This window comes from Homo sapiens, chromosome 10 (genome assembly GCF_000001405.40).
Source record: "Homo sapiens chromosome 10, GRCh38.p14 Primary Assembly".
Lineage (NCBI taxonomy): Eukaryota > Metazoa > Chordata > Mammalia > Primates > Hominidae > Homo > Homo sapiens.
The window spans coordinates 91042571-91064849 of NC_000010.11; the positions used below are offsets into that span (position 1 = coordinate 91042571).

A 22279-nucleotide genomic window follows, 5' to 3' on the forward strand; every position below is an offset into this window, starting at 1 on the left:
AGGATGACATTAAGGTTTCTAATTTGGGAGACTAATGAAGGCTGGAACACAGAAGAGGAAGAGCAGGTTTGGAACAAGTGGAAGAAATTTCCAGTGGATAGTTTATTAAATCTTCACCCTTCTTTAGGTCCCTGTTCCTTACCTAGGACATGCAGCCTTCTTTTTTCAGGAAGAAGATGCTAAGCATAGTTAAAGCTAAGCTGTTTGCTATGCTCAGTGTTTGGACTATTTGGCCAATGCTCTTTGCTATTAGTCAGTGCCCAGCTGATCCAGGTGTTAACATTTTTCAATATCACTGTTACTAGTGATCTTTCAAGTTCCATGCTTCCCACTCTGAACCTTCCCTTGCTCTATTCTAGAAGGTCATCCCCAAGAAGCGCTTCTCAACATTTTCCTCCCCGGGACTTCTAAAGGCAGAAACTCCTGGATTTGAGGGTTTAGAGCCATCCAAGAAACAGGCCAAATTTATTTGAAAGCTCTTCTCTTAAATCCTTACAATTCATGAAAATTTATATTCTGCTTCACAAGAAATCTATACTTGTTTCAATATAAAAATAATGTTTAAAAGTACTATCAAGCATCACAGTTTAGAGAATGGGCTTCGAAGTCAGAAAGGTCAGAGTTTGGCTTGCGTCTCTGCCAATTACTTGTTGTTGGACCTGGAGCAAGTTCTTTGACCTCTCTAGGCCTCTGTGTCCCTCATGTGGTTGTTGACCACGTGGTCAATGTTCCATAGATTTAGCACCCTGAGGGCCAGAGTCTATCTTCTCTTCATTTGTGTCTCCCACACAGACACCAGAGGAGTGTCCTGTCCGCAGAAGGCCCTTGGTGTGTGTTCATTCCTCTACATCAGACATTAGTGCACCTAGGGTTATCCCGTTTTTACCACTAGATGGAGAGCACGTATCCTAGAAGTTTTAATCCATTAGTAAGTGAGAGAGCAAACATTTGTCTGTCTTGTCTTCACCAAATCAACTTATTGAATGATGACAGAATCATTAAAACTAGCTTTCAATAAATGCAATTATAAGGTAACTTTATAACTTTCAGAACTATTTCTTTTTTTTTTTTTTTTGAGAAAGTGTCTTACTCTGTCACTCAGGCTGGAGTGCAGTGGTGCTATCATTGCTCACTGCAGCCTTGACCTCCCGGGCTCAAATGATCCTCCCACCTCATCCTCTGGAGTAGCTGGGAGTGCAGTTGCATGCCACCACTCTCAGCTAATTTTTTTTATATTTTTTGTAGAGACAGGCTTTTGCTGTGTTGCCCAGGCTGGTCTTGAATTCCTGGGCTCAAGTAATCCACCTGCCTCGGCCTCCCAAATTGTTGGGATTACAGGCGTGAGCCACTGTGCCCAGCCTCAGAACTATTTATGCTTAAAGTAATGAAAAGGTGAAAGCAAGGGAGAAACATTAACTTCAGGATAGTGGCTACCTCTGGGGATGGGATAAAATGGAATTGGGTAGGACGAGGAAACTCTAAATGTATCTGGCAGCTTATTTCTTACTTAAGAAAAGATATGAAGTAAAAAATGTTGGCCAGGTGCAGTGGCTGACACCTGGAATTCCAGCACTTTGGGAGGCCGAGGAGGGTGGATTACTTGAGGCCAGGGGTTCGAGGCCATCCTGGCCAACATGGTGAAACCCCATCTCTACTAAAAATATGAAAATTAGCCAGGTGGGGTGGCACGTGCTTGTAATCCCAGCTACTTGGGAGGCTGAGGCAGGAGGATTGCTTGAATCCAGGAGGCAGAGGTTACAGTGAGCCAAAATAACATCACTGCACTTCAGCCTGGGCAACAGAGTGAGACCCTATCTCAAAAATAAATAAACAAATAAATAAAATCTACAAAATGTCCAAAAATATTAACTTTGGGTGAATTCTGGGTAGTAGGGGAGAAAACTTAGATGTCTCATTACTTTCTGTATTTCTCTGTTTGAATTTTTTTGTAATTGTAAATGTTTTTTAAGTGAGGGAAAAACTCAAAGGTAAAATTTATGCTTACTGTGTCTAGCTCTATTTATGCTGCCTAACGAGCTCTTCAATGTTCTCAGAGATATGCAATTTGCAAAAGGAAACAACAACAGAGCAAAAACCATACGGATGTCTCTCTACTTGGGCTCTCATGTTGCCACCCTTCTACTGAACCTTACATTTTGCCCTGAAGTTAAGTCTTTTAACGGTCATAGCTTAACTCAATTGCTAATTAGCTCTTGTCTCCAAACTGTATTGTTTTCAACTAATCTGAAAGGTGAAGAAAAGTTGTTTCCATACATCTGTTCAGGTTGGTATTCCATGTAACAAACTACCCCAAAACTTAATGGCATAAGACAACCATTTTATTATGTTCCTGGATTCTGTGGGGCAAGAATTTGGACAGAATACAGTGGGGATACTTTGTCTCTGCTCCATTATATATGGGGTCACAACTTGGGGGTGACTTGACAGTGGGGAGTAACTTACTTGATGACTGAGAGCAAAACTCATTGGGAGGTGTATTCACTCCTGTGTCTGGTTGTTGATACTGGCTCTTGACTGACACCTCAGCTGGGGCTGTCTACAGAGTCATCTACTCATTACAATCATGTCACTATGGTTGGCTCAGATTCCCAGGGAGAGGTCAGAGACTCCCACCTCTCAATGGGAAGGGTGTCAAAGAATTTGCATGCATATTTTAAACCCCCCACAATATCCTTTTAACTCTGTTGTTACAATGAAGTGGTTTGATAAGTCTGGACCCCACTTTCTCTTTGTTTACTCAAGTAATCCGTAGGGGGAACATTTAAGTGTATCCACTAAATTGTCTAGGAACATGTCTGGTCAAGTTATAGCAGCTCAGATTATAAACTAATAAGAGTATTTATTTTATTAGTACTATTCCTTGTGAAAGCAGACTAGTTTTTTAAAAAATGACCATTCAACATAAAGGTATACATCATAAATAACTCATAGAATGAAATTTTCACCACCAATGAAATATTGTCCAAGGCGGACTCCATTATCTATTGCTGCACAGCAAATTACTCTATAATTTATGGCTTTGTGGATTTAAAACAACAAACATTTATTATCTCACAGCCTCTGTGGGTCAGGAATTTGTGAATAGTTTAACTCGGTGACTCTGCCTCGGGGTCTCTCCTGCAGTTTCAGTTAAGATATTGTCTAGGACTGTGTCATCTGAAGGCTTGACTGGGGCTGAAGGAGCTGTTTCCAGCATGGCTCACTCTCATGGCTGTTGGCAAGAGGCCCCAGGTCCTACCATGTGGACTTCTCCATAGGACTGCTTGAGTGTTCTCATGACATGACAACCAGCTTCTTCCAGAGTAAGAGATCCCAAAGAGAGCAAAGAGGAAGCCAGAGGTATCTTTTATGTCCTAGTCTTTGTAAGTGACATGCTATCACCCCTGCCATATTCTCTACATTAGAAAGTGAGTTACTAAGTCCCACTCACATTCCAGGCAAAAGACATCAAACTCCATCTCTTGAAGGGAGGCATAGCAAAGACTCTGTGATGATATAGTAAGACTACCACAGGGAGCTGAAAAAAGGCCTCTCTCACTCCATCTTGAAGGAATCTGCCTTAGGGCATCTGTCCTTATTGAGGAAATGAATGTGGGGAAACAAGTTGTTTCCATATGGAAAATTATACATCAATTTCCACTTTGTCATTCAGGTAGGAAACACACCTGGACTACTCTCTTCTATTCTGCTCCTATCTTCATAGGATAAGAACTATGATTCTTGCCAATAACAGCCTGGGGAATGCTTTGCATGTTTTATATTTACGTGCAACTGTGGTAATATCATGGAAGTATGGGTATTCCAGGGCCTATTCTAATGCCCTCATTGACACGAGGGTTCATTTGGTCAAGTCTCCTGGACAGGTTTGCTCTTTCTTGTATTCCATTCTATTGTGTATCTTTCAAAACTACAAACTTGAATGGTCAGGATGATAGATGGGGCTGTGCTTCAGGTCAAGGGAGATCATAAGATGCAGAAAAATTGCCATCTGCAAAAAGCAAAATGCAATGAAGTGAAATGCAATCCTGAGTGACTGTTTCTCATCTTTAGTGAGGCATTGAAGAAAAGATGCAATTACTCATTCATCTGAGAAAAGGAAACCTAGGGTGCACCCAGTTCAGAAACCTAAAAGAAGATCTGCTAGAATTTCTAACTTAGGAAATACCAGTCTTTAGGATGGGGTAGCTAGGTCACTGACAGGAAGGTGGGGGTCCCTCCCTTCAAAGAAAAATGGTAGGATTGTATCTGGTTCTGGATCTAATTCAACTTGACTACTTAGCAGTAAAGATAAATTGGACCCAAAGAGAAAACTGAAAATCACATTTTCCTGGCAAGTCCTTCAATGGGCTTAGTGTGTTTAGATTTATGAGGGAGTGAATGACCTTCTCTGCCACAGTTTTTTACATTTTCGTTTTTCCAGGACTGATTTTCCATCTGGCCTAACCAGAGTCTGAAGTTGCTGAATCAAACAGAGCCAATAGGTCGGACTTGAGCTGACTGGAGCATGCACAGAGCTGGGAAGCACAAGTATGTTCCTTTTGTAAAGGGCTATCAACCAGATGCCTCCTCCTCCCTCCTCCCAGCCTGCCTCAGATCATGGCCCTGAAAGAGAAGACATCCTGTTTTTCCAACTCAAGAGACACCACTGCAGGGGGAGCAGTAGCAGGCTTGGGGACGTTTTCCACTCAAGAAGCTGGCTATGGGAAGAGGTGGGATGACAGTATTAAATGCAAGGACATTGTCAGACAGACCTGGTTCCTATGCCAGATTCCCAGGTTGGTGGGGGGCGGGTGGGAAGGGTCAGGGAAGGCCAGGGTTTTCTACTCATCTCTAGCAACCCCAGAGAAAACGTGGAAGAGCAGTGCAAAGTTTCCACACACTCGAGAAGAGTTCAAGAGTAGCAGAGCACTGATAAACCCAGGTATCCGGCAGAAGTGAAAAAGTACATTATAAGAGAAAGCCGCAAGACCAGGTGAGGTAATGAACATTGCTGGAGTGCTAGTAACCAGAGGTGGGATACATCTCAGGAGAGGCAGGCTTTGCCAGAATACCATGTAGGCTACCCCACACAGGTGCCATCTAAAGGAGATGGAAGACAATAGAGAAAATCCAGAATTAACTGAATTTTAACATGAAAAGATTGAGAAAACAGAGAAGTTTTCTATAAATAATTAACATTGCATGTTATAATGTTAAGTAAATTAAGTTACATTATACAAAATAATATTATCAATTTTGCACACTCAAGTTTGTGGCTTAAGAAAATTCAAACCTGCTTATCAATGTACCATTCTCTATTGTTCCTACAGCTTACCCTGTATTTCATGCAATACAAAGGAAGATGGCTGTTTGGGGTTGCCGTGTCTCTTAGCAATTAAGGAGATGGCTACAGCCAAGCAGTGTGAAGTGACAGCACCAGAAAGTTTTCTACACCAGAGGTTAGAAAATATTTTCTTTAAAGAGCCAAGTAATGAATATTTTAGGCTTTGCCAACTATACAGTCTCTGTTGCAATTCTTCAACTCTGCCCTTATAGCACAATACATAAATGAATGGGCCAGGCTATGTTCCCATTAAATTTTATTTATGGAAACTGAAATATGAATTTTATATTATTTTTCTGTTTCACCAAATATTATTATTCTTTTGATTCCTTTAAAGTAATATAAAAATGTAAAAACTATTCTTAGCTCATAGGCCATGCAAACACAGGAGGTAGGCTGGATTTGACTACCGGAAGTAGTTTACTAGCCCTTGTTTTTGGCTGGTCACTGATCTCCACACCATGGAAGGAATTAATGTATTCAGGCTCATGGCCCTGGGTAAAAAGGTCCACCTGCTTAGGAAAGTGCTCAGGAGATAAAATCCTCCTGGGAATCACATAATCTTTTTTTTTTTTTTTTAGCATCTTTTTCTTTTCCTTTGTCCTGTGGCTTTTCACGTGGTTTCAAGACAAGTGTCAAACTTTACATTTGACTTAGAAAAGCCACAACTCATATTCAGACTCCTTCTGCAGTGGCAGAAGACTGCTGGGCTCTAAGCCCCAGGAAGACGGGGACTGTGTGTCTTTTTCCTTGCTACTATATTGCTGGGGTCTAATGTAGCATCTGACAGAGTAAGGCACTAAATAAATGTTTGTTGATTGAATGACTAAGTGATTAAAAAGTCCCTTTAAAGCACTTTTTTTTTGGTGTTTTTTGTTTTTTGTTTTTGAGATGGAGTCTCGCTCTCTTGCCCAGGCTGGAGTGCAGTGGCACGATCTTGGCTCATTAGAACCTCTGCCTCCGAGGTTCAAGTGATTCTCCTGCCTCAGCCTACCGAGTAGCTGGTATTACAGGCGCCTGCCACCACATCTGGCTAATTTTTGTATTTTTTAGTAGAGACGGGGTTTTCCCATGTTGGCCAGGCTGGTCTTGAACTCCTGACCTCAGGTGATCTGCCCGCCTCAGCCTCTCAAAGTGCAGGGATTACAGGCGTGAGCCACCGTGCCCAGCCCAAGCACTTTTAAAAACTGTTTTGTTACTCCATCTTACATGTGTTACACAACTCTCACTTTAAAAATGTCTGTAACAGTGATTTAGAATTCAGAAGACTCATCACGCATAAATAGATTTCCTTCAAAAGCTGGACAAAAATTTTATGTCAGTGTGAAACTGCAAAATCATTGTTAGCTATGTTTAAAAGAAAACCTGTTTGCACCAAGAAGTGAAAGAAAAGTAACTGCAAATATCAGAGACTGGTCTTAGTAAGGAAGCAGCCACCTGGGCCTCTCTCCTGACATTAATGTTGTGCCTGCCATTTGGCCTATGGAGGTGGTTTCTACCATTATGCCCATGATATGAAAAAGCTACCTGGGTAACAAAAGACTGGGAAACTTACCAGAGACCCACGACATGGGAGGAGCTGATGCTGAAAATCCTTCTGCTCTGTTCTAAGCTGGCAGCTTCTCTCCCCATTAAGCCACACAACATCTAGGCAGAACAGAGCAAACTCGGAGAAAACCACACAGATTTTGGCTGTATGGATTCAGCATTTTATCTGAACAATCATCTTAGCTCTCCTTTTAAAGTTTTCTTTTCTTTTTAAAATCTCAAGTGAATTTGCAAAGGGAGGTATGAGAATGTGGGGGAATTGGGGATGAAAACTGGTGTGTGGTACCAAGAAGAGGCAAAAGAAAAAGATCAAAGATTAGCTTTCCTAAACTGGGTGGCACCTTGGCACTGAATCCTGGGAACAGATGCTGGCTGATTTGAATTAAAAAAGAGCAAAAGTAACCAAAGATAAGAAATAATTGGCTAAAAAATACAAAACCATACTTCTGACTAGGGACAATAAAATGTTCCAAGCAGATGTTAGAATAACTGACTTTTAAAAACCAAGCTCAAAGAAAATAGGGAAAGAGACTCATTGCTAAATATTTTTCCCTCAATTGTGAATTAAGACATGGTCAGAGGAGAAGAGACCCTTTCCAGAATCTCAGCAGGATAAATCAACCTTGTGGAGGCCTTTGTGTTCCTGGAGAATGATGTCAGAACCCACCCCAGGAAGAAGAAAGAAATGTTTGCACTAAAGGTCACTTGAGAACTATAAAGAAAAATGCTATTTGTGATGACCTAGAAATCCTTCCAGGAAGAAGAGGAGTCAACTCACTGTTTTGGAATCAGTGGGGAAAAAAACAACAAAACTTTTCTGGTGAAAAACATTCCGAGGGTCATTTAGACATTCTAAGAAAGTCAATGAAACTTTGAGAGAAAAGAATCCCGGAGTAGGATTATGGGAAAATTATGTTTTTCTTAACTGTTTAAAGCATGTTGTGCATTTACATATGTGTTGGTCATACAAAGATAATTGGAAAGGTTTCTGGCAGTAAGCAGAAGGCAGGGACTGACGGCCTCTCTACCCTATTTATTGTTGACCCTGAGAATCCTTGGGGTAATCAGATATGCGTGGCTCACAGAGATATCCAGGGGTTTAGAAGAAAGAACACTAGCCTGTGAATCAGAAGACCTGGCGTCACATTTCAGCTCTATGGCCTTCTAACAGGAGAACTGCTGCATGCCATTTAACCTTTCAAAGCTTTAGTCTCCTTATCAGTTAAGTGAAGATAATGTGTGTTCCTTGTGGGAATATTGTTAAATGCAGTCCCTATACAGAATAGACACATAGTCGGAGCTCAGTAGTAGTAGACTTGAATCTGTTGCCTGCCTCAGAATTAACTTACTAGCTATCTATATTGAGCACTCGCTATGTGTAAGTCTGTTATTCACACCGTCTTGGTTTTCCCAACAGCCCTATGACTAGGGGCAATTGTTATCCCCTTTATACAGATAAAGTCACTGAGGCTGGAGAGGTTAAGAAACTTGCTAGTGGTAAGTGGTCAAGTCAGGCAGCCTGGCTCCAAGCCCCTGCTCTTATCTGACCAAATATGAGGGGAAGATTTACTGAACTTATACCACCTTCTTCCTCTTTGTTTCTGTTATGACCCAGGGAACAAGATGAAGAGGTTTTCCTCTCTCAGAAGCATAAAAAGCTACTGACCTCATCCCAATAACAAAAGTTAAAAAGAATGACTTTAAATACAAAAGATACGGTAATAATGACGCTTTATGGTCCAGGCAGTATTCTAGGTGCTTTTTTATATAGGCTAATTAATTAATTTAACAACCTTCTTAGGTAGGTGCTACCATCTCCACCATGTTATGCGGGGACTCAAGCAAATGTGCAGAGCCCTTGGAGCTCCAAAGACTGCTTTCAACCATCGTACTATACAGGCTGTCCAACACTGGGCTCTCAGAGGCAAGCCAACAGGCAATTATGGATGCTGCCTTGGCTAGGTATCAGGGGTGGAAGGCATATGGTCAGCAATGTAGTCTCAGGGCAAACTGTGAATTGAAGTTAAAAGAAAAGTGATATTTATTGACAGCTTATAATTTAAGTGAGTAGGAATATTTTAAGTTAATAATGCCCTAACTGGGGATCCAAGTCCTTGGACTTCACCAAAGAAAATAACAGGGGTTCAGGAGCTATTTTTAATATTTCAAAATGCCTGTTAGTATGTCACTAATCATATAAAATATAGTCTTTGTGTATGGTAACAGAGTCTTAAAGGAGAAAACTTTTAGGGAAAAATTCATAGACTTGAGCAAATTTTCAAGTATTCCTAATTCTGGAAACAAGCGAATTTCTCTCCTGTCAGAGTTGAAATAATCCTTATGCATGTCAAATTTACCCTAATAGAGAAGATACTCATTATCAAAGCAAATGCAACAAGACTCAAAGACTTCAGGAAAGAAGTTGCCGGCAGACATTAAAGGCAATTTTAGCCATTTACTTAGAATTGCCAGTCACTGTAGGAGCAGAAGAGGCATTTTTCTGCCAACTGGTTGAAGCTTGTGCCAGAATGATCCTGCTGTTTCTTAATTGTCCTAAAAGCTCGTAGCCAGCAATTTCCCTGCCAAGCCTGACCTCACTTTCATGTTTTTTGTAATATGCAGATCACGAAGTGTCCCATTCAGAGTGGGAAAACAAGAAATTACTTCCTCATCCTTACTCTTGGAGCTCATCACATAATCTGTATGATGTCTCTGTAAAATAATACATCAATGGCCATCTCAAAGCCTTCTGTGCCATTTTTTAGTACCACTGTCCTTGCCTATGTTTGAACATATGATTAATCCTCATGGCAAACTTGTAAGAGAGGGGACAACAGTGTTGTTCCCATTTATGAGTGATAAACCAACAGAATTATGACTGATGGACATACGAATCTATGTGTGGTGTATTAAGTTGAAAGCTGCATAATGAAATTTAGAGCATGCTTTCTTTTTTTATATAAAAGAAAAGGCATGTAACTGTGTATGTCTGTGCATGCATATGCAGGTGTGTACAGAGGTGAGATATAAAAGCTCAGAAAAGATTTTGTGATATACAATCTAGTTACTTCCTAAGGTGGTAATGTTACCTCCTAACAGTTACCTCCTAAAATGGGAGTAAGTGAAAGAAGCTACCGAGAATGTTCACTTTTATATCTATGCACCTCTGTATTGTTTTAATGTTTTGCAATAAGCATATATTGTTTTTATAATGTCAAAAAGAATTTTTAAAAAGAGAAAAGGTATAAAGTTAGTGATAGATGTTCTCCACAATCAACAGCCCTATCTAGTTTATTCCATTGGATCCAGATTTTCAGAGCAATTTTAAATAGACATTAGAAAAACCTTCCTCAACTCTGGAAGAAAATATTTGCTTGGTATTCGAGTCTTGGGGAAGCAACCTTCTACTTAATGCTTTTTGGAGGCCCTTGCTCCTAGATGGAATGGAGACTCAGTTGGGATGACCAGAGGCTTCCGTCAACCAGCTCCTTGGGTTCATGGAGTTCTTTGAGGAGCAAAATCAATATGTAAAAAATGGGAATGCAGAGCCGTACTGTGGCACCGCGGTCTAGGCACTTCTTGGACAGCATGTCTCACCTGCTGATGAAACTCCTGAGCAAGGAAATGGAGAAGCAGAACCTCAAATTGTGGCAGTGGAACCTAAAGTTGCAGGGGGCCTCAAATCTGACCCTACCAGAAACTCAAAATGGAGATGTGTCTGAAGAAACAATGGGAGGTAGAAAGGTTAAAAAATCAAAACATTCTATAAATGTGGCCTTATCAGAAGCTCAAAATGGAGACGTGTCTCAAGAAACAGTGGAAAATGTAAAAGTTAAAAAATCTCCCCAGAAATCCACCATATTAACCAATGGAGATGCAGAAATGCAGTCTCCCAAGTCAGAATCAAAAAAGAAAAAGAAGAAGAAAAAGAGAAAAATGGCGAATGATGCTGGGCCTGATAAAAAAAAAGCAAAAACTGAAAACAAAGGAGAATCTGAAGAATAAAGTGCCGAGACTTCTAAAGAAACAGAAAATAATGTGGAGAAGCTAGATAATGATGAAGATGACAGTGAGGTGCCCAGCCTGCTCCTGGGACTGACAGGAGCTTTTGAGGATACTTCATTTGCTTCTCTATGTAATCTTGTCAATGAAAACACTCTGAAGGAAATAAAAGAAATGGGCTTTACCAACATGGCTGAAATTCAGCATAAAACTATCAGACCACTTCTGGAAGGCAGGGATCTTCTAGCAGCTGTAAAAACAGGCAGTGGTAAAACCTTGGCTGTTCTCATCCCTGCTATTGAACTCGTTGTTAAGTTAAAGTTCATGCCCAGGAATGGAACAGGGGTCCTTATTCTCTCACCTACTAGACAACTAGCCATGCAAACTTTTGGTGTTCTTAAAGAGCTAATGACTCACCATGTGCACACCTATGGGTTGATAATAGGTGGCAGTAACAGATCTGCTGAAGCACAGAAACTTGCTAATGGGATCAACATCATTGTGGTCACACCAGGCCGTCTGCTGGACCATACGCAGAATACCCCAGGGTTTATGTATAAAAACCTGCAGGGTCTGGCTATTGATGAAGCTGATTGTATCTTGGACATTGGGTTTGAAGATAAATTAAAGCAAATTATTAAACTTTTGCCAACACACAGGCAGACTATGCTCTTTTCTGCCACCTAAACTCGAAAAGTTGAGGACCTGGCAAGGATTTCTCCGAAAAAGGAGCCATTGTATGTTGGTGTTGATGAAGATAAAGCTAATGCAACTGTGGATGGTCTTGAGCAGGGACACTTTGTTTGTCCCTCTGAAAAGAGATACCTTCTGCTCTTTACATTCCTTAAGAAGAACCAAAAGAAGAAGCTCATGGTCTTCTTTTCAGCTTGTATGTCTGTGAAATACCCCTACGGGTTGCTGAAGTACATTGATTTGCTGTCTTGGCCATTCATGGAAAGCAAAAGCAAAATAAGCATACAACCACATTCTTCTAGTACTGCAACGCAGATTCAGGAACACTATTGTGTAAGGATGTGGCAGCAAGAGGACTGGACATTCCTGAAGTCAACTGGATTGTTCAGTATGACCCTCCAGATGACCCTAAGGAATGTATTCATTGTGTGAGGAGAACAGCCAGAGGCCTAAATGGGGGAAGGCATGCCTTGCTCATTTTGCACCCAGAAGAACTGGGTTTCCTTCACTACTTGAAACAATCCAAGGTTCCATTAAGTGAATTTGACTTTTCCTGATCTAAAATTTCTGACATTCAGTCTCAGCTTGAGAAACTGATTGAAAAGAACTATTTTCTTCATAAGTCAGCACAGGAAACATATAAGTCATACATACGAGCTTATGATTCCTATTCTCTGAAACAGATCTTTAACATTAATAACTTAAATTTGCCTCACATTGCTCTGTCATTTGGCTTCAAGTTGCCTCCCTTTGTTGATCTGAACATGAACAGCAATGAAGGCAAGCAGAAAAAGCAAGGAGGATTTGGCTACCAGAAAACCAAGAAAGTTGAGAAGTCCATAATCTTTAAACACATTAGCAAAAAGTCATCTGCAGCAGGCAGTTCCCTCACTCAAGAGATGCCTGTCTTTATCTTGAATAACTTTGTCCTGACATGAAATTTTCCCCCTTGATCTAACAGGATTTTTGTAGCCTTTAGAATTTGGACTGGTCTAACAAGAGTATAAACTGACTTGGGTTGCAAGCACTGAGCACTGTTACTTCTATCAAGTCTCTTTTATTTTTGGGATATAAAACAGGCTTTAATTTTCTTGGTTGCCCAAGGGCAGAGCAAGGAATGTCTGCTCTTTCTTGTGATGATATAATATTTTAAATTTTTAAATATCCCTCCTTCATACACACAAATGTACGTTATTGTTTTAATATAATTCTTTTTGTACCTTTCCTTCTTGGTTTGTGAAGATTTTTGTGGCATGGGTTGCTTTGCTTACTGCTGTAAAAGGTGACCTAGTGTGCTGGGAAGCTGGTGGTAATGCAGAAAAGAGTCTCAGGTTATTTTTTGTTTTTAGTTATTTCTTGGACCTTGGGAGTACCTAATGACTCCTCCTGAAAATGCTGTAGTATAAAAGAGCAAAGAGCTTTGGAAAATACCTAAGAAGCACCTTAGGATTGGGGTGGCATTGCTTTTACAGATTCTTGATTTTTTTTTTTTTTTTTTTTTTGAGACGGAGTCTCGCTCTGTCGCCCAGGCCGGACTGCGGACTGCAGTGGCGCAATCTCGGCTCACTGCAAGCTCCGCTTCCCGGGTTCACGCCATTCTCCTGCCTCAGCCTCCCCAGTAGCTGGGACTACAGGCGCCCGCCACCGCGCCCGGCTAATTTTTTGTATTTTTAGTAGAGACGGGGTTTCACCTTGTTAGCCAGGATGGTCTCGATCTCCTGACCTCATGATCCACCCGCCTCGGCCTCCCAAAGTGCTGGGATTACAGGCGTGAGCCACCGCGCCCGGCCCAGATTCTTGATTTTAAAGCAATGAGCCTTTCTCAGGTGTTTTGTTTTTTAGAGCAAAAACTATGGTTTGTAATTTGAATAAAGTGTCACTAGCAGTCATAACATTTGATGAGTGTGGGGTAGGAAGAGGGTGGAATTGAGATGTTTGAGGCTCGTTTACATCAATAGAGGTATAATATACTGCATTTCTTCATTCAGTAACACAGCAAAGACTTTAAAAACACACATACAAAGAATGGTGCCGCTCCTCATTCAGATTTCTTTAATTCAAGGTGGTTTGGATTTTGGTAAGCCTTTTCGCTCTGTACAGTACTTAGAAGACAAGGGCAACTGCCCTGGACTTAGAGCCAAGCCATCAGACAGTGCCCAACACATATTAATGTTTGCTTCTTTCTGAGAAAAATTACCTCTTCCAGTCCCTGAAACAAAAAATACATTTGTTGTGAAGATTGAAAATGAACAGTCAGAAAAAAACAGCGAAGTCAGATGGTTTTTTTGTTGTAGGAGCATTTGATTTCTAGTGTGTTTTGTATAATGTGTAACTACAAAATAATAGATTTTGTAGCAATTCAAAACAAAAGTTGCTAGCATCATTTTTCTGTTGTGCCAGTTAATCATAGCATCCCATTAAATGTAAGTGTGCTAATATCTAATGTAGAGGAAACTGTTTGGTAAAGAATATTCCAGTAGGAAAAGAAAAGAACAATCTTCGATTTCTGGGCTTGGCCATTATCACCCTGGTCACACTTGTCCTGGGCTTCCAACCTTGACTGCTGGGCTCCTGGTTTGGCTTCTTGGATTCCTAATTCCTCATGTTTAGTAACTCTCTCCAGGATCATGTTTTCCTTTTTTTTTTTTGTTTCAGAAGTAATGTTTTTTAAAAGACAAAAGCGAAGGGAAGAATATTTAATTACTGAGCAGAAGTAAATACTGTTGGTATTTTGTACCTAATCTAATTTTTATATGCATGTTCATGCTTTTTAATTTTTTTATCAAAAATGGAGTCATCTACCTACTACTTGTAACCAGCTTGTTTCATAACATATTATTTTCCTGTGTCATTTAATAATAACCTCAAAAAAAAAACCAAAAATGAGAATGCAGTCTTAGTTATTTATTTAGATTTTTGTACAAGTTTTTTATAAGGTTCCATAATAAAGGCAATTTGGGGATGAATAGTCTACATAGCAAACTCCTTCCATCCAACTAGGAATGTGACCTAGGAATGGTGGTATAGTAGAAACAGCAAAAATTTGAATTTTGATAGACTTTTATTCACATCCTAACTGCTATTTAAGAGAGGTTTGGCCTCAGACAATCTACTTAGTGTCTCTGAAACTCTGCTCCCTCAGCTATAAAATAGAATAATAGAGACATGAAAGGTTATATGTAAAGGGCATCACATAATACCTGGCTCATGGAAGGTGGTCAAAAATTCCTAGGCTAATAAAAAGGTGTAAATGATTTTTAATCTATATTGACATTTGTAGTGAACAAATAAGAAAACTTAGAATTGTGGAAGATTGTCAGGAGATAGTGATGATTCTGTCCATGGTATAGTCACTCCATCATATTGTCTATCAGGCCAGGTCATTCCATCATACTGCACAAAAACTACTTGAGATGTATATCTTACTGAGGAAGAGCCAATAGTGTCAACTCTGCATATGAAACACCCAACATGCAAAAACTAGAAAGTGATCCATTTGTAGATTTAGTTGTAATTGGGCCGTGTTTGCAATTGGAGGTGTCTAGCTCTGGCATCTTCTCAGACATTCTGCATCAAACAGAGATGACAAAATCTATTAAATTTCTTAGAAACATTTCTCTGATGACTAGACTTGGCCGTGGAGAGTGAAAACCAACCAAAGGAAAATTTCTTGGTACTTGCTGAATAACAGGCACACACTGGTGACTGAGGAGTTCCAATGTGGCAAATCCAAAGAAGACACTTGAGAAGAACTAAACCAAACTGTATTTGTAGGAAGATAGGTTTTAGGTTCTCCAACATACCCCTGGAAAGACACCTGGATGTCTGTCTTTCATTCACCTCATATTTGTAAGCAAGACACCACATTAGGCCCTATAGGAGGTTTAAAGACTCATAGTCCAAAAACTCATAGTCTCATAAAATTACAGAAGACAATGACTCACTAGGTCATCTAAGATTCAAATGCACTGATTGTAATGATCATTAAATAGCTTCCCTGGAAAGTGTTCCCTGTAATGCTTCTACCATTAGCTGATATCAAATGCTACGTTTTCACATGGAAGAGCCCTAAGTCTTGCAATAAACCATCAAAAAGATACAAAAGAGGACCATGAAGACCCTCTTTGAGACCATGGTCTTGGTACTGAAGTTCTTGCTCTATAATTTTTCATCTCCCTGTCTACTGGTTGACCACCAGCAGCACTACTTTCAGGTCATTGATGAAGAGAAGTGACTTTACAAGAGTGTGAGGAGTACTGGGACATGTTTAAAGAATGCCTGTCTTATAGGATGAGGGCAGTTTTTAGAGTCCAGCCCCTTCCTTTTTCTGTCTGGCTTTCTAAATCTGAATTTTTCTTCTTAATCCCACTTGCTGCTGTATCTCTTCAAATACTGACGACTTCCCCTCGGCTGTCCTTGTCCTGAAGCAATAAGACTCTCTGATCTGCCCTTCAGAATTCCCACTCCCCAGATCCTAGGAAAATGGGAACCTTGGGTACTATGAGGAGTTGCTAATTGGATGATGATACTCCCTTGTCAACACACCCCAAAATTTTCCCATAGACTAGCTTCTCACAGACATCATCTTCCATACCTTCTGCTGTTTTTCATGATTCTCTCTTTCCCAAATGGCTGCTAGCAACCAAAGCCTGCACTCCATCTCAAAGCTGTTGCCCAGCCAGTGTGAAACTCCAACACAAATTACGCTTTATTCATTTAGACTGTTAATTGGTGGATTGTGTTCTCATGATGCCTCCATGGCCACGATTGAGTCAGTTCACTTCTCCGAGCTCCAGGTGACTAGATGAGGAAAACTCCATCCTTGACAAAGCCATGTTCATTGGGCACTCACATGCAAACACATGTACATACATGTAATTTCAGAATGAGTTATGAAGGTAGTTTGCATTTCCAGCTTCATTGTTTACTAGAATGTATAATCGTGGGCAAGTTAGTTCTCTGAGTCTCAGTTTCTTCACCTGTGAAGTGGAGAAGATGATACCCATTTCTATGTTCTATGAGTAGAGAATGAAATTATATGGGAGAAGAACTTAGAAGGGCCCAGGCTCAGAGAAAGGATGATTCACAAATATTAATGGTGAATAAACATCTAAAAGTATTTTAGCATCACTAATAATCAAAGAGGAAGAAGGAGCAGGAATGTAGGGCAGGCAATATCAACAAAATTGTAAACAACCAAAATGGCCCACAATAGGCAGCTGGTTATATCTGAATACAGTGGAATATCTTGGAAATTTCAGGTTACAAAACACAGGGAAAGATTTAGTAAATGTTTGTTTCCATCATTGCTTTTCTCTCATTCATAGGATCTTGCAAGTGTCGCATGCTCTCCAAAGGCCCCAGCCCACCCTGCCCCCCACCACCCTTATTTTCTTCCTTCTTTTCTATCATATTAACTAAATGATTCTTCAATTTTCCTCTATTTTTCTCCATTTGCAGTGAAAGTGATAGAGGGCTGCAAAGAGAATGGATTTGCGCCCTTTAAATGTGCCACTTCCCACTAACTAAGGAATTATAGCAGTTGTACTTATACTTCTTTAGCCTTGGTAGCCAGTAAAAACAATATGATTAAACTGTAGAGCTGACCCTGAATTTCACTGAGACCAGTCTAACCATTTAAATCATAACTTTATGAACAACTTTTTATTGCCATCACATCATATTCTTGTGAGGAAAAGCCAACAGCAATATTAGATGACTTCCTGAAAATATTTTCTCAAACATTTTTTCTGTGAAAATTATACTATAGGAAAAATTTGTGTATAATTTTAATATCTCTTTTATTTTTTCTTATAATTTATTTTGATTTGGCTTTCCTGTTTCATGTTTATTCTAGAAAATTGGAAATTACAGAAAAATATTTGGAAGAATTAAAATTATTCATAGTTATACTTCCAAAAATAAATATTGTTGATATTTGGAGAGTATTCTTTTTAAATGCTTTTATTTTGAAAGCTAAGAACATATTTGCATATATAGTTTGTGACCTGATTTCTTGATATTTTATGATGCCAATACAATTTTTTTATTAACAGAAATTTCCAAGATATTCCATAGTATCCAGATTTAACCAATTGCCTGTTGGGGGCCATTTTGGTTGTTTTCAACTTTATTGCTTTTGCCTGCCCTACATTGCTTCTCCTTCTTCCTCTTTGATAATTAGCGATGCTAAAATACTTTTCTGTGTTTATTCACCATTAACATGTGTGAATCATCAGTTCTGAGCATTTTAAGTATCTCTTTTATTTATTTTTATAATGATGGTGGTGGCCATAATCACTGTCTTCATTGTGGCACTTGGGACCAGGAATTATCAAGGCCAGGTTAGCTCAGAGACCCAGATGAAGAAAAGAATTGCAGACAGGAACAGATTTGCTCTCATTCCCAGCATTGACCTTCCCGAAACTGGCATTCCCTGGCACCAGGTGGTTTTGAAAAGAGTTGTTTTTGATGCCACAGAAATCTATTGGAAAGTGGACTTCCAAGCACACCCAGTCCTGGTGTGTATTCTGCAGCTGGATGAGAAGCTGAGCAAGTCATGGGTCTTCTGAAGACAGCTTTAAGTTCAGCTAGAGGAATGAAATCCTAGGAAATAGTGAAATAAAACACAAAACATATTTTAAAATTTATAAACAGAAATTGTTCCTCAAGGGAGGAATTAATTTTCTTCTAAATTATTCCTTTTTTGCCTGGATTGTTACCTTAAGGCCCAGGTCAACTCTCTACATGGAAATCTTCAGAGGACAGAGAATAGAAAATAAACACTCATGCTCCAAATTTGGGCTTGTACACCAACCAGGACCTTTTCACGGCCACCTTCCTGCCAGGCTCACTGATAACCAGGTTTCACAAGTCAGGGAAGGCAAGTCTAACGTGGAGGACAATTAGAGATGTTGGTTCTTTCTCCAAGGATAAAAACCAGTTATTTTACCTGTCACCCTAAAAAGTTTCTGGGATGTCATCTGGCATATGTCCTAGCCTTGATGTTTCATAACCTCTACAACTTTTGGGCACACAAAAAAAATTCACATAGTCTCATCTATAAGGACATAACACTCTTGAACTTAGAAATGAAATCTTCAGCTTCTTTAGAACTCCCACTGCACAGAAGCTGCTCTAATCTGTCAGACTAGGAGTCACTCTGAAGGTGTATTGCTTTGCTAGGTGCAAGTACCCTGGAGGGCTGGCAGTCCCCTGGAGGGATGGATGTCACTGACTGAAAGGAAGGAAGTGGGCTGGAGCAAAGTCAAAGGCTGAGAACTTGAATCAAACATGAATTAGCTTATGCCAGTGCCCACTCAATGCCCTCCTCTCACCTCATATCACTTTGAGTAGAAGCCAGTGTTCTTACAATGGCCTACAAGGTCCCCCATGATCTGGGCTACAATACTCCCTGCTTACCTCTCTCTCCTCCCTTTCCTTCTACTATCCATTCCACTCTGCACAATGACAGAGAGTGGAACAAAGTTGTTCCCCCTGCCTATAAGAATGTGGGGTCAGCTTGAAAGCTAAGGCTAATCCTGAGAGCCTAACAGCTGGATGCTATCAGATAACTGCATTTCTAGAAGCTGAACAGCACGTTCTTTCTTGAAGGGAAATCCAAGTGGTTTATTTCCATGGCTGCCACTCTCCCAAAAGTTATTTTTCCCAAGAGACTTTCCCCATAACCACCCCCTAACCTACCAACCATGTCTGGGTTGGATGTCCCAACTATGTGCTCTCTCAGCATCCTGTGTCCCCGCATTACTGCACATTCACACAGAGTGCAATTGCTCATTTACTTATGTTTTCTCCCACTAGGCTGAGAACAGGGGCTGTGCAGTCATATTCAATATTGAGTCCCCAACCCTAACCCGGACCTGGCACATACAAGACATTCAGCAGATGGCTATTGAATGAAAATATATAAATGAATCAACGATTACCAGCTGCCTCCACTCCCTTAACCTGCTACAGAATTAATAAACTAATCTTGAGCATAGTGGATATATAAAAATAAAAGTATCGTTGAGGACTGTCAGGCCAGCCTCTCTGTACTGGTTGCTACATTCTGCTTGTTGATTTATGCTACTAATTACTGTCACTTTTATTTTGGATTTGGACAGAAAACAAGAGTGTTACTTAAAGGAAGGCTTCCAAATTTCTAAGTGTAGGGAACCCTGCTAAGGACATGGAGCTTCAAAGGGCTCACAAGAAATTTATCACACATATGTGTGCACATGCATATGGCACACACACTCAACTTTGTAACATGTAGTAGACCACATCTAGAATAATATAAAATTTCTATCGCAAACAATCAGCTCTTGACCCTCCAAGCCCATGGCTGAGTTAAAGATGATATGGCATCCCTGTAAAGATCAGAAGGAAAATAGTAGAGAAGAACCCAGAGTTTCCCTCTAAACCAGGGTGTGTTTCTTTTTTTTTCTTTCTTTTTTTTTTTTTTTTTTTTTAGCATGTGTTTCGAAACCTTGGCTTTACAACAGAATCACCTGGTGGGCTTTTAAAAATGTCAACACTCAGACCACACCTAAGACCAATTACATCAGAATTTCTAGGGAAGCGAACCAGGGAATTATTTTTTCAAGTACCCCTGGTGCTTCCACCATGCAGCCAAGGCTGAGAACCACTGCTCTAGATTCTTCCTCCCCTTGAGCCCTACTATGTGCCGGCGTTATATGGGGCAATGTCTTTTCCTTCAATTTATTGATGTAAAATGTTATCCACTTTACATGGCCAAGCCTACACCCTGGAAGGGAAGCAATTTTATAAGCCCTCATTATTTACTCTATATGGTCGGGGCACTAGGAAAATAAGAAAAAAAATGTTTTTTTTTTTTTTTTTTTTGCACTCACTTGCTTAAGCTATCCCCTTAATACCTAAAGGGAAGCCTTTAGTATAATTTTTTATAAGAACAGTGACAGTAAGACTATTTGGGAACTGAAGCCATTCCATAGATGAACTCTACAAAGTTTAATGTACACACTTCAATTTACATGCGATGAGATAAAATTGTTAATGTTTGGAGGTTCGCAGCTTTCTCCCTCCATCTTTGCCCACTAAGCTCCTTATTTCTCCTTCACTTTCTATTAATAAAAGGGAAAAAGTCAGATGCTCGTGAACAATTAGCATAGAACCAACCCTCAATCTCCAGGGTGCTTCTTGGAGCTGGGGATATGATTCATCTAGAGCCTGTGTAGACTTACACATGGCCCAGAGAAGAGAAGGGATCAAGGGACCAAGGGGGCAGAGACATGGCAGAAGAAATAGAAGCCCAAAGGAATATAGGGGTGCTAAAGATAGAAGCAGACAAGAGATTTTAATGAATTTCTAAGGACTAAGTGTTTGGACTCATTTACATGTTTTTGAGAGTGCGAAGTGTAAAGACTAAACCTGCTGTGTAGGCCATGCTACTGAACTCTAACCACCCTCTGGACAGGATGGCAGGGTCATGCCTTTATGTGAGTTGCATGAATGCACTGAGTGGGCAGGTCCACCACTGGAGCACTCAAAATGTGGCTAGTACAACAGAGGTACTGCATTTTCACATTTTGTTGGTTTTAGCTAATTTAAATAGGCAAATGTGGCTAGTGGCTACCCATACTGAACAGTGCAGGCCTACAGTGCTTAATCACAGGACACACACCTATCTGTTTATGCATGTATGGACACCTACTTACATAAATGGTTTTGTATTTGCACATAATTATATACCCTCATATCTCAAGAATATACATACAGACACAACTAGACACAATTGCAAAAACAAGACACCTAGTCTTGTGGAAAGATAAAAAGAATAAAAATTAAAATTGGAATTATTGCATGGGTCCATGTAGGGAGATTTGACACAAGAAGAATTGGAGCAAAAAGCACATGGGTGTGTTGGACAACAGGATGAATTTGGGATGATGCTTTGATAACAAAAAATGAAGGAAAGAAAATCCTGTGAGACCACCAGTGGTTTAGGAATACAAGCAGCTTTGTTTCCCTTGATCTTTTAATCTTTCAGCAAAAGACCTTTACAAATGACATACATCCTTCAAAGGTGGACTTGACTGTCAAGGATTGCCCTGATAACTGGGAAGAACTCCAAAGGGCATAGATAGAAAAGGGAAGAAAGCACTTCTTAACAAGGATGACCAAATTCTCTAAATGATATTCATTCACCAAAAACATTTTAGGCACTCTTGTTTCCAGGAGAAGTATTTATTCCAAAGTTATTAAAACTGTATGAGATGGACTAGATGAATTTCCAGTTGTCAGAATTATTAGTTTACCTAAAAGTTATACCAATTCATGGACTATAATATTAACTTTTTCCCTATTGAACAGGTAACTGAATTCTACCCATATGAACTAAACAATAATTCCTCCACCCAGAAGTGGTATAATTGTTGCCAGCTAGAAATATTATGATTTGCTTTCCAGTTCTCATATTATCCATCTCAGTCTCTTGATGTATACCGTTTACTAATGCTTGCCTTGCAGGTCTTTCAATATGCTGTGCTCCTGCCTGCCTCTTAGTCTTTGCCCATGCTGTCCCCTGTACATGAAACGCTCTTCCCAAACTCTTACTGAGTTAACTTCTGCAGATCTTCCAGGTCTCATCTTACCATCCTTAGGAATGTCATCTCCAACCTACCCTACCTGTCCCACATTAGATCAGTC

General features: G+C 40.0%; 1 long non-coding RNA gene and 1 pseudogene across 1 annotated transcript; both read left to right on the plus strand.

The window, feature by feature from the left end:
• Positions 1-3237: 3237 nt before the first annotated feature.
• LINC00502 (long intergenic non-protein coding RNA 502) lies at positions 3238-19589 on the plus strand. Its single transcript, NR_047467.2, has 4 exons — positions 3238-3360; positions 4442-4548; positions 5331-5459; positions 19409-19589. It is a non-coding gene; the product is annotated as a long intergenic non-protein coding RNA 502 (long non-coding RNA).
• DDX18P6 (DEAD-box helicase 18 pseudogene 6) lies at positions 10439-14455 on the plus strand (annotated as a pseudogene).
• Positions 19590-22279: the final 2690 nt, after the last annotated feature.